This window comes from Homo sapiens, chromosome 4, assembly GCF_000001405.40.
Source record: "Homo sapiens chromosome 4, GRCh38.p14 Primary Assembly".
Taxonomy (NCBI): Eukaryota; Metazoa; Chordata; class Mammalia; order Primates; family Hominidae; genus Homo; species Homo sapiens.
Window position 1 is genome coordinate 99,353,913 of NC_000004.12, and position 12,810 is coordinate 99,366,722.

Below are 12,810 nucleotides of genomic sequence, written 5' to 3' on the forward strand. Positions count from 1 at the left end.
CTTATTTGGCCCCCCCCACCCCATGTCCTGCTGATTGGTCCATTTTACAGAGCGCTGATTGGTCCATTTTACAGAGTGCTGATTGGTCCGTTTTTACAGAGTGCTGATTGGTGCATTTACAAACCTTTAGCTAGACACAGAGCACTGATTGGTGCATTTTTACAGAGTGCTGATTGGTGCGTTTACAAACCTTTAGCTAGACACAGAGCACTGATTAGTGCATTTTTACAGAGTGCTGATTGTTGTGTTTACAAACTTTTAGCTAGACACAGAGCACTGATTGGTGTGTTTACAATCCTTTAGCTAGACAGAAAAGTTCTCCAAGTCCCTACCTGACCCAGAAGTCCAGCTGGCTTCACCTCTCAATAGACAGAAAGAGAGAGAGAGGAAGAGACAGAGACAAAAAGGGAGTCAGAAAGAGAGAGACAGAGAGAGGAAGAGAGACAAAGAGGGAGTCAGAGAGAAAGAAAGTAAGAGACAAAGTCAAAGACAGAGAGGGAGAGACAGACAAAAAAGGGAGTCAGAAAGAGAGAGACAAAGAAGAAGTCAAAGAGAAAGAGAGAAGTAGTAAAGAAAAAATAGTGTACTCTATTCCTTTAAAAGCCAGGGTAAATTTAAAACCTATAATTGATAATTGAAGGTCCTCTCTGTAACCCTATAACACTCCAATACCATTTTGTTGTCAGTGTAAACAAGGGAGTAGCCCGACAGCACTGAGGCCACTGACAACCTGTAGCCTTCCTATCAAAAATCTTTAAACCAACAAGTTTCCTAACAGGGGATCTAAATCTTAATTAATTACCATACAAAGTTCCTACCAGATCTAGGAGGAGCTCAGAACAGGACAATAGATGTTTCCTCCAGGGTGATTAAGGGAAAAAGACACAATGGGTATTCAGTAGGTAATAAGGAAACTCTTGTAGAAGCAGAGTTAGGAAAATTGCCTAATAATTGGTCTGTTCGAACGTGGGAGTTGTTTTGCACTCAGCCAAACCTTAAAGTACTTACAGTATCAGGAAGGAGCCATCTATACCAACTCTAAGTTAATATGGACTGAACGAGGTCTTATTAATAGCAAAGAATAATTGAAATCCCAAACTTACAAGTTTTTCAACAAAAGTAAAGTTTGCTAAAAGTTAACAGTGTAACATGTATTATCCTACTACCACACACTCTCAAGGGATCTCTCAGTTTACAAGAAACAGTGAAATCTATCCTTACTCTACAATCCCAAATAGACTCTTTGACAGCAGTGACACTCCAAAACCTCTGAGGCCTAGACCTCATCACTGCTGAGAAAGGAGGACTCTCCACCTTCTTAGGGGAAGAGTGTTGTTTTTACACTAACCAATCAGGGATAGTACGAGATGCCTCCCAGCATTTACAGGAAAAGGCTTCTGAAATCAGACAATGCCTTTCAAACTCTTATACCAACCTCTGGAGTTGGGCAACATGGCTTCTCCCCTTTCTAGGTCCCGTGGCTGCCATTTGCTATTACTTGCCTTCAGGCCCTGTATTTTTAACCTCCTTGTCAAATTTGTTTCCTCTAGAATCGAGGCCGTCAAGCTACAGATGGTCTTACAAATGGAACCCCAAATGAGCTCAACTTCTACTGAGGACCCCTGGACCAACCCACTGGCCCTTTCACTGGCCTAAAGAGTTCCCCTCTGGAGGACACTACAACTGCAGGGCCCCTTCTTCGCTCCTATCCAGCAGGAATTAGCTAGAGCAGTCATCGCCCAATTCCCAACAGCAGTTGGGGTGTCATGTTTAGATGGGGGATTGAGAGATGAAGCCAGCTGGGCTTCTGGGTCAGGTGGGGACTTGGAGAACTTTTCTGTCTAGCTAAAGGATTGTAAACACACCGATCAGTGCTCTGTGTCTAGCTAAAGGTTTGTAAATGCACCAATCAGCACTCTGTAAAAACGCACCAATCTGCGTTCTGTGTCTAGCTAAAGGTTTGTAAACACACCAATCAGCACTCTGTAAAAATGCACCAATCAGTGCTCTGTGTCTAGCTAAAGGTTTGTAAATGCACCAATCAGCTCTCTGTAAAAATGGACCAATAAGCACTCTGTAAAATGGACTAATCAGCACTCTGTAAAATGGACCAATCAGCAGGATGTGGGCAGGGCCATATAAGGGAATAAAAGCTGGCCACCCAAGACAGCAGCAGCAACCCGCTCTGGTCCCCTTCCATGCCATGGAAGCTTTCTTCTTTTGCTCTTCGCAATAAATCTTGCTGCTGCTCACTCTTTGGGTCCACACTACCTTTATGAGCTGTAACACTCACCACGAAGGTCTGCAGCTTCACTCCTGAAGCCAGCAAGACCACGAACCCACCAGGAGGAAAAATAACTCCGGACGCGCCACCTTTAAGAGCTGTAACACTCACTGTGAAGGTCTGCGGCTTCACTCCTGAAGTCAGTGAGACCACAAACCCACAGAAAGGAACAAACAACTCTGGACGTGCCACCTTTAAGAGCTCTAACACTCATTGCGAAGGTCTGCAGCTTCACTCCTGAAGTCAGCGAGACCACAAACCCACCAGAAGGAAGAAACTCCAGACACATCTGAACATCTGAAGGAACAAACTCCAGACACACCATCTTTAAGAACTGTAACACTCACTGCGAGGGTCCACGGCTTCATTCTTGAAGTCAGCGAGACCAAGAACCCACCAGAAGGAACTAATTCTGGACACAGTAGCACCTCTTTAAAAGATTGTTTAGTGAGTTAATGAAATAATCCATGTAAAGCATCTATGGCAGATAGGAGAATCTTCAACAAATATTAGCTACAATTATTATCCATAAATGGAAGCTCTCAATCTAGGGAGGAAAAAGGCACACAGTAGGCATGTCAGCCTATCTGGGTAGTACTGTGTCAGGTACAGGGCATTCTGATCAAAGAACTTAGAGGAAGAAGGCTTTGTAGAGAGATGTTTAGAAACAAAAGTGATCACTTTGGCAAACAGACCAAAAAACTCACTTGGGCACTCCATTGTTCTTTGTTTAATGCCATGAATATAAGTGAATACGAGTTTGATTTAAAAAAAATAAATCTCAAGTCTTCTACCAAGACTTGAGGACTACAATGCATTTAACTATTCAATTGGATGTAGTCTGTCAACATATATACATAAACTATATTTTTCTAGAATTGTCAAAGGAACAACATTATTGTCTGTTTCTAACTACACCAATTATGCAGGTGTAGAGAGTCCTGCTAGGGGTGCACTACTCCACCTATCAGAGAGGTGAGAAAGGTTTTTCATTTCCTCATTGTGGTCTTATGGTGATTGAGTAGGCATCACTTCTAGAAAATCGCCATCACTCTGCTCACCCACTTTGTGGAGAGCAGTGTAAAGGAAGGAAGTCTAGCTACTTAGTCTGGATAACATCAAGGAGTTCACCTGTTGCAACCAATTTGAAAGACTCATTGGATTGGCCTGTTTACAGAGTGATGGACAGACATGGTAGGGTATCAGAAATAATTTGAATTCCTAATATATTGGTGGTTTATTTATGAGGCATAAATTTGCAGGAAGTTAATGGCCATAATTTATTGAGCACCTACTATGTTTTCAGAACTCAGAGTTTTCCACACATTGTTACACAGAATCCTTAGTGCAATCATACAAGGAAGGTATTATTATTAGTCTCATTTTATAGATGAGGTAAGAGAAGCTCAAAAGTTGTAGATCTCTAAATGTGCTTTTTAAGTCAGAGATGTTGGCTTCAAGAACAGAACTGCAGTCAGGCTAGTGTTAATGAGTTTTATAGTATAATATAACAGACAGTCACAGAAACATCAAAGGACAAGAAGTGGGTGGTATATCTTGAGCAACTGGACATCAGGGGCTGTCTCTCCTCATTGCTTCTCTCTTTTTCTTTTTCTCTTTCTGAGTACACTCTGGCCCTGACTCTTCTATCTTTTAGCTAGAGTCTCTCGATCACACAGTTGAGTCAGGGGTCCAACCTGGGTCTGATGTCTGGCCATGAAGCAATCAGTGAAAACCAGAGGGTTGAGGTTATGCAGGTGTAGAAAGCCACATCATTTTCAAAGGTGTCACAAAGCTAGTAAATGGCAGAGGCAGAATGCCAAGTCACATCTGTCTGATGCCCATATTCTTTCCACTAAAAAAAAAGGAGTGGGGCTGGAAAGAGTTTGAGTACGACTTTCGGCTATCTACCCTGAATGATAGCTCCACACTGCACAAGGCTTGAGGAAAAACACTGTAACTGGCAAGGAGCTCAGAAGCAATACTCTTCAAATTCCTCATTTTATTGGCCAAATGACTTGGCAAGACAATGTGGTTAATATTTATTTAAATATATTTGGATAAGGAAAATACAGGATTGTTCTCACAGTTCCATAGTCTAACATCTTTCAAATATTGTGAGGTTGAGGCAGGCTGAGGAGCAAAAAGTCTAAGCTTCTAGGGCCGTATGTTTAATCTACCCAAATCCAACACCACAAATCAAGTATTCATTTCACTTTGACATTGAAACCAAAGTTGGTGAGAGAGTTAAAGTTGTCTCCTCTACCCTTGGGTTAGAAAATATTTTTCCAACTTGGTCCTAATTCTCTCATAAAACACATATATACAGAGTGTTGGAAATGCTTGTTCATATCTCTCCCTGTGAAAGTTTTTGGGAAATAATCTGAGAAAAGCCAAAAGACAAAGTTGTACACATATTCCTGGCAGCTTCCTCTGAGTACCAAACTAAAAAAACTTAATGCTCAGCAAACGGTTTAGTGAAATATTATAGACTGGTATAAGAAAATGCTATGCCAATAATCATTTTAACATGATGGAGAAAAAATATTATATAATAATTTAAAATAATAAAAAATGGCATGAATTCCACAATTTCAACAATAAAAGAATATATACAAATGATGGGTACCATCTGATTTGGTTTGACTCTGTGATTCCACCCAAATCTCACCTTGAATTGTAATCCCGATGATCCCCATGTGTCAAGGGTGGGACCAGATGGAGGTAATTGGATCATGGCAGTGGTTCCCCCATGCTGTTCTCATGATGAATGAGTCTCATGAGATCTGATGGTTTTATAAGCATCTGGCATTTCCCCTGCTGCACTCACTCTGTCCTGCCACCCTTTTAAGAAGGTGTCTGCTTCTCCTTTGCTTTCCACCATGACTGTAAGTTTCCGAGGCCTCCCCAGCAATGCAGAAGTATGAGTCAATTAAACCTCTTTCCTTTATAAATTACACAGTCTCAGATATTTCTTTATAGTGTGAGAAGAGACTAATAAACCGTCTATATATTGAAAATAGTTTTTTAAGGATGAAGAATCTACAGTGATTTCCCATAGAATCATATTATTTTCATTGATAATCACATTATATTACTAACAATGGCCAAAATGTATTGAGTGATTACTTTATTAAGTGCTTTACTGATATCTTTTAACTTAATTCTCTTTAGGAAAATAGTATCATAAGTCACACTTTGTAAAGAAACTGAGGACAAAAGAGGTTAAGCAAATTCCTGAGATACAATTCTAAGAAGTTTTCCCCAGAGTTCAAGTTCCTAACTAAGGAATAATAATGATGGTAATAATGAGAGGTGATAACATGCTAGCAGCCCTCGCTTGCTCTGGGTGCCTCTTCAGCCTCGGCGTCCACTCTGGCCACACTTGAGGAGCCCTTCAGCCTGCCGCAGCACTATGGGAGCCCCTCTCTGGGCTGGCCAAGGCCGGAGCTGGCTCCCTCTGCTTGCAGGGAGGTTTGGAGGGAGAGACGCAGGCAGGAACCAGGGCTGCGGCACTCATGGGCCAGTGTGAGTTCCGGGTGGGCATGGGCTCGGTAGGCCCTGCACTCAGAGCACTTGGAGCGGCTGGCCGGCACCACCGGCCCCAGGCAGTGAGGGGCTTAGCACCCAGGCCAGCAGCTGCAGAGGGGGTGCCAGGTCCCCCAGCACTGCTGGCCTGCCTGCGCCACGATTGAATTCTTGCCGGGCCTCAGCCACCTCCCCATGGGGCAGGGCTCGGGACCTGCAGCCCACCATGCCCGAGCCCCCCCGCAGTGGGCTTGGGCATGGCCCGAGCCTCCCTGACGGGCACCTACCCCTGCTCTGCACCTGGTCCCATTGGCCGCCCAAGGGCTGAGAAGTGCAGGCGCACAGCGCGGGACTGGCTGGCAGCTCTGCCCACGGCCCTGGCACGGGACCCACTAGGTGAAGCCAGCTGGGCTCCTGAGTCAGGTGGGGACTTGGAGAACGTTTATGTCTAGGCAGAGGATTGTATATTCACCAACCAGCACTCTGTGTCTAGCTTGGGGTTCGTGGATGCACCAATCAGCACTCTGTATCTAGCTAATCTGGTGGGGACTTGGAGAATTTTATGTCTAGCTAAAGGATTGTAAATGCACCAATCAGCACTCTGTGTCTAGTTCAAGGTTTGTAAACACACCAATCAGCAGCCTGTGTCTAGCTCAAGGTTTGTAAATGCACCAATCAGTGCTCTGTGTCTAGCTAATCTAGTGGGGACTTGGAGAACTTTTACATCTAGCTAAAGGATTGTAAATACACCAATCAGCACTCTGTGTCTGCTCAAAGTTTGTAAACATACCAATCAGCACTCTGTGTCTAGCTCAAGGTTTGTAAACACACCAATCAGCACTCTGTGTCTAGCTCAAGGTTTGTAAACACACCAATCAGTGCTCTGTGTCTAGTTAATCTAGTGGGGACTTGGAGAACTTTTACGTCTAGCTAGAGGATTGTAAATACACCAATCAGCACTCTGTGTCTAGCTCAGGGATTATAAACGCACCAATCAGCACCCTGTCAAAATGGACCAATTAGGTCTCTGTAAAATGGACCAGTCAGCAGGATGTGGGTGGGACCAGATAAGGGAATAAAATCAGGCTGCCCACCAGCAGCCGCAACCCACTTGGGTCCCCTTCCACACTGTGGAAGATTTGTTCTTTTGCTGTTTGCAATAAATCTTGCTGCTGCTCATTCTTTGGGTCTGCACTGCCTTTATGAGCTGTACCACTCACCGTGAAGGGTCTGCAGCTTCACTCCTGAGGCCAGCGAGACTACAAACCCACTGGGAGGAATGAACAACTCCGGATTGGAGGAACAAACAACTCCAGACGTGCTGCCTTAAGAGCTGTAGCACTCACCGTGAAAGTCTACAGCTTCACTCCTGAAGCCAGCGAGACCATGAACCCACCAGAAGGAAGAAACTCCAAACATGTCCGAACATCAGAAGGAGCAAACTCTGGACACACCATCTTTAAGAGCTGTAACACTCACCACGAGGGTCCGTGGCTTCATTCTTGAAGTCAGCGAGACCAAGAATCCACCAATTCCAGACACAATAACAACAGCTAACAATTAAGTGCCACTTAATATATGCCAGGCAGTGTTCTAAGTGCCTTATGTTTACTAACTCATTTAATCCTCAGATCAATCCTATGATTTAGGTAGTAATATGATTCCTTTCTTCAGGTAAGAAAACCATAGCCCAGAACCAGGGCCCCCAGCCAGGGTGTGGCTGAATCAGAGTTAGAACTCAGACTGTCTGCCTCCAAAGTCTGTACTTTCATCTGCTCACTGCTCTAGTTCCAGGACTTAGTAGAAATAGCAAGGAAGGAATGAAGAAATAAATTTTAAAGAAAAAATCAAAGAACTTATGATAACTCCAAAACAATTCCAAACATTCCTGCCTGAAGGAGTGGGAGGAAAGTAGCTTTATTGACTAACAAAGGAGGTTAATTTGAACATGTTAAATTTTAGGTAACTTTGAAATATGCTGAGTGAAAGTTCCAGCTGGGTCATGGGAAGCATGGGGATGTTGTGTGCAATATAAAATTACTCAATACATGGATTTGAGACCAATAATGTGAGAGGTGATAATTTCTAACTCTCAGTATGAATTAATTTTTTGAGAGAGAAATTTTAGAGGGAAGAGCAGTCTTCAAGAAAATTGACAGTAAAAAGTGAAGAGATGGACAGCAATCTGAAAATTACATAAGGCAGAGTCATGAAAAGAAGATAACTCTGCAGCAGGAAGTCAAGAGGAAAGAAGCTGAAGGAAGCCTTGGAATTGGTTCCCAGAGGTCCTTCATGACTGTGGAAGGAGGGTAGAACTGCAGCCACAGGCTGAGGAATCAGAAAGGGTCAGAAAGGGGAGCAAGTTATTCTTTAGGAAGTTTGTCATCCAAGGGAAGGAAACAGTAGAGCAGCTGGAGGGAAAATTAGATTAAGTGGGAGATTCTTTCACAGCAGTTAGTTGTCTGTGCAAGACCCATGGCAGTCTAGAAAGATTATTTACCCTATTGTCTCACACAGTTTATTTATTTACCTATTGTTTCACAAGATCATGGCAGTCTGGAAAGATCTGGGGCCCTGGTTCTGGGCTATGGTTTCCTTACCTGTGAAAAGGAATCAGATTAGTACCTACATCATAGGATTGATCTGAGGATTAAATGCGTTAGTAAACATAAAGCACTTAGAACAGTGCCTGGCATATATTAAGTGCCACTTAATTGTTAGCTGTTTTTATCATCATTATTATTCCTTAGTTAGGAAATTGAACTCTGGGGAAAACCTCTTAGAATTGTATCTCAGTCAGGAAAGATCAGGGGTGTCTGAAGATGCTGGAGAAAGGAGAACCTCTTGAAACAGTGCTGGGAAGGATCAGAGGGAGGAGTTTCATTTTCTAAAAGGGAGATGTCATATATGTGGCCATTGGAGGGAAGCAAGTATGAGTGTAGGCTGGAGTTGAAGTAAACAAAAATGCAATGTTGTTTATTTACCTATTGTCTCACAGTTTATCCTTTTATAATTTGTTCTATGCTGCCAGTGCTGTGATTCTCCAAATCTGATTTCCTAGTCTACCTTGACATCTGGCTTTTCTAATGTTTCTGCCAATGAGAGGTACTAGAGAGATTTGAAAGCAGTGGAGGGGAGAAGGGACTTACTTTCCAATTCCCACTAGTGTCACTCCATGTCACATGGTTGGGTCAGCTGTTTTAGGCCCTCTTGGCACCAGCCTTGCCTTATTCTCACAGGGATCAGCCACAGCTGGGCCACACTCTCTTGGCAGTGTAAGTATGAGCTTTGCCTTCTGAGCAGCCACTGGGCTATACCCTTTCCTCTGAGGTTTTAGTTCTGGTAACTGTACCACTTTTTTTTTTTTTGTCCTCCCTCAGGAGCTTAATGTTCTTAATGTTTTGGGTGACCTCAGTTTGCCCTTTGTAATTTTTTCACCTTCCAACACATCAATAACCAACTTTCTGTATTAAATCACCTTTGTTTGAAAGAATTTTCTTTCCCTTTCCTAACTGGATACATTGATACAGTTCTTGGCCCCAGCAGTGGTTCCAGAAGCAGACCCTCAAGTAAACATGTGTTTACATAGATTTACTTTCTATCTTTTTTCTTATTCTTTCTTTTTTTGTTTTTTTCCATATCTGAGTTGATGTCTTTTTAATGATTATAATTTGCTAATATAGAAAGCAGTGGAGTGAGTTAGTTTAAGGGATGTGAAAAGAGAGGAAAAGATCCAGAAGAGTCAACCAAGGGGAAGCCAGTGGAGCTGACTAATGGGCCCCAGTTGCTCTCTTCTCTTATAGACTTGATATAGCTCTGCTCTGCAATTTTCTACACACCCTGCATTGGCTTTCAAGTAGAAGTTTTCCAGAGCACTTCCAAGGTGTGTGAAATGTAGTATCTTTAGAATTCTTATACAATATAGTCACTGAAAATGTTATCCCCAGCCATATATACTTATTTGCACAATGCTATGAACTTTGTTCTACAATTTTTATTCATTTTGTATTTTGTGAATTTTGGAATGCAAGCAACTCTTTTTTTGAACACTAAAATAATCTTAATTTTTAATTTTCATGGCTACCCAGTAGATGTATATACTTATGGGGTACATGAGATATTTTTGTATAGGTATGCAATGCATAAAAATCACATCATGGAAAAGTAGGTATCCATCCCCGTAAGTATTTATTCTCTGTGTTACAATCTAATTATACTCTTTTAGTTATTTTAAAGTGCATAATTATTATTGATTATAGTCCCCCTGTTATGCTGTCAAATACTAGGTCTTATTTATTCTAACTATTTTTTTGTACCCATTAACCATCCTCACTTTCCTCCATCCCTCTCACTACCCTTGCTGGCCTCTGGTAACCATCCTTCTATTCTCTCTCTCCGTAAGTTCAATTGTTTTGATTTTCAGATCCCAAAAATAAGTGAGAACATGTGATGTTTGTCTTTCTCTGCCTGGTTTATTTATTTAACATAATGACTTCTAGTTCCATCCATGTTGTTGCAAGTGACAGGATCTCATTCTTTTTCGTGGATGAATAGTACTCCATTGTGTATACGAAGCACATTTTCTTCATCCATTCATCTGTTGATAGATACTTGGGTTGCTTCCAAATTTTCGCTCTTGTGAACAGTGCTGCAATAAACATGGGAGTGCAGATATCTCCTTAATATACTGATTTCCTTCCTTGGGTTATATACCCAGCAGTGGGAGTGCAGGATAACATGGTAGCTATATTTTTAATTTTTTTGAGGAACCTCCAAAATGTTCTCCATAGTGGTCGTACTGGCTTCCATTCCTACCAACAGTGTATGAGGTTTCCCTTTTCTCTACATCCTCGCCAGCATTTGTTATTGCCTGACTTTTGCATAAAAGACATTTTAGGCTGGGTGCAGTGGCTCACGCCTCTAACCCTAGAATTTTGGGAAGCCAAGGCAGGTGGACCATGAGGTCAGGAGATTGAGACCATCCTGGCCAACATGGTGAAACCCCGTCTCTACTAAAATATAAAAAGTTAGCTGGGCATGGTGGTGCATGCCTGTAGTCCCAGCTACTTCAGAGGCTGAGGTAGAGGAATCACTTGAACCCAAGAGGCGGAAGTTTCAGTGAGCAGAGATCGTGCCACTGCATTCTGGCCTGGTGATGGAGCAAGACTCCATCTCAGAAAAAAAAAAAAGCCTATTTAATGGGGATAGGATGATATCTCATTGTAGCTTTGATTTGCCTTTCTCTGATGATCAATGATCGTCATCATATGCATGTTTGCCATTTGTTTGTCTTTTTGTGAGAAATAGCTATTCAAAACTTTAGCCCATTTTAAAATTGAATTATTAGATTTCTTTCCTAGAATTGTTTGAGCTCTTTATATATTCTGGTTATTAATTATTTGTCAAATGGGTTTTTCTTCAAATATTTTCTCCCATTCTGTGAGTTGTCTCTTCACTTTGTTCATTGTTTCCTTTGCTATGCTGAAGTTTTTTTTTTAACATGATGTGACCCCATTTGTCCATTTTTGTTTTGGTTGCCTGTGCTTATAGGGTATTATTCAAGAAGTTTTTGCCCAGACCAACGTCCTGGAGAGCTTCCCCAATGTTTTCTTGTAGTAGTTTCATACTTTAGGGTCTTAGATTTTAAGCCTTTAATCCATTTTGATTTGACTTTTGTATATGGTGAGAGATAGGGGTCAAGTTTCATTCTTCTGAATATGAATATTCAATTCTCCCAGCACCATTTATTGAAAAGACTTTTTTTCCTCAATGTATGTTCTTGGTGCCTTTGTTGAAAACGAGTTTACTGTAGGTATGAAGATTTTTTTCTGGGTTTTCCATGCTGTTTTATTGGTCTATGTGTCTGTTTTTATGGTAGTATCATGCTGTTTTTGTTACTATAGCTTTGTAGTATATTTTGAAATCAGATCATGTGATTCCTACAGCTTTATTCCTTTTTCTCAGGACAGTTTTGGCTATTCTGAATATTTTGTGATTCCATATAAATTTTAGGATTCTTTTTCTATTTCTGTGAAGAAAGTCATTGGTATTTTGACAGGGATTGCATTGACTCTGTAGATTGCTTTGTGTAGCATGGACATTTTAATAATGTTGATTCTTCCAATCCGTGAACATGGAATATCTTTCCATTTTTTGTGTCCTCTTCAATTTTTTTAATCAATATTTTATAGTTTTCATTGTGAAGATTTTTCACTTCTCTGGTTGATACCTAGGTATTTAATTTTATTTGTGGTGGCTATAAATGGAATTACTTTTTTGATTTCCTTTTCAGATTGCTCACTGTTGATATTTAGAAATGCTACTGATTTTTGTACATTGATTTTGTGTCCTAAAAGTTTACTGAATTTGTTTATCAGTTTGAGTAGTTTTTTGGGGGAGTCTTTTGGTTTTCCCAAATATAAGATTATATCATCTGCCAATAGGAAAATTTGACTTCTTTTTCAATTTGGATTCTCCTTATTTCTTTCTCTTGCCTGATTGCTCTTGCTAAGAATTCCAGTATTATGTTGGATAACAGTGGTGAAAGTGGGCATCCTTGTCGTGTTCCAGATTTAAGAGGAAAATCTTTCAGTTTTTCCCCATAAAGTATAACACTAGCTGGGGGTCTGTCATATATGGCTTTTATTATGTTGAGGTATGCTCCTTTTATACCCAGTTTTCTGAGGTTTTTTTCTTAATCCTGAAAGATGTAGATCTTTATCAAAAGAGTTTTCAGCATCCATTGAAATATATGGTTTTTGTCCTTCATTCTGTTGATATGAAGTATCACATTGACTGATTTGCATATGTTGAACCATTCTTGCATTCCTGGAGTAAATCCCACTTGGTCATGATGAATGATCTTTATAATATATTGTTGAATTTCACTTGCTAGTATTTTGTTGACAATTTTTGCATCAATATTCATCACAGATGTTAGCTTGTAGTTTTTATTTATTTATTTTAACATGCCTTTGTCTTGTTTTGGTATTAGAGTA

General features: G+C 41.0%; 8 annotated features.

The window, feature by feature from the left end:
* Positions 1-365: part of a biological region, named in NCBI's record as "ADH1C promoter region", that runs on past the window's edge. NCBI's record gives its function as "regulatory_interactions: ADH1C | LOC111240471".
* Positions 1-365: part of a mobile genetic element that runs on past the window's edge.
* Positions 24-310: a repeat region, noted in NCBI's record as "contains four repeated motifs of two subrepeats; consensus A = tgtctagctaaaggtttg B = taaaaaygcaccaatcagcrctctg". NCBI's record gives the evidence for it as "COORDINATES:motif similarity evidence [ECO:0000028][PMID:12489990]".
* Positions 35-337: a promoter, noted in NCBI's record as "E-R promoter fragment". NCBI's record gives its function as "promoter in liver cell lines" and the evidence as "EXISTENCE:reporter gene assay evidence [ECO:0000049][PMID:12489990]".
* Positions 72-93: a protein binding site, noted in NCBI's record as "BCAT". NCBI's record gives the evidence for it as "EXISTENCE:protein binding evidence [ECO:0000024][PMID:12489990]".
* Positions 97-121: a protein binding site, noted in NCBI's record as "BCAT". NCBI's record gives the evidence for it as "EXISTENCE:protein binding evidence [ECO:0000024][PMID:12489990]".
* Positions 163-187: a protein binding site, noted in NCBI's record as "BCAT". NCBI's record gives the evidence for it as "EXISTENCE:protein binding evidence [ECO:0000024][PMID:12489990]".
* Positions 229-253: a protein binding site, noted in NCBI's record as "BCAT". NCBI's record gives the evidence for it as "EXISTENCE:protein binding evidence [ECO:0000024][PMID:12489990]".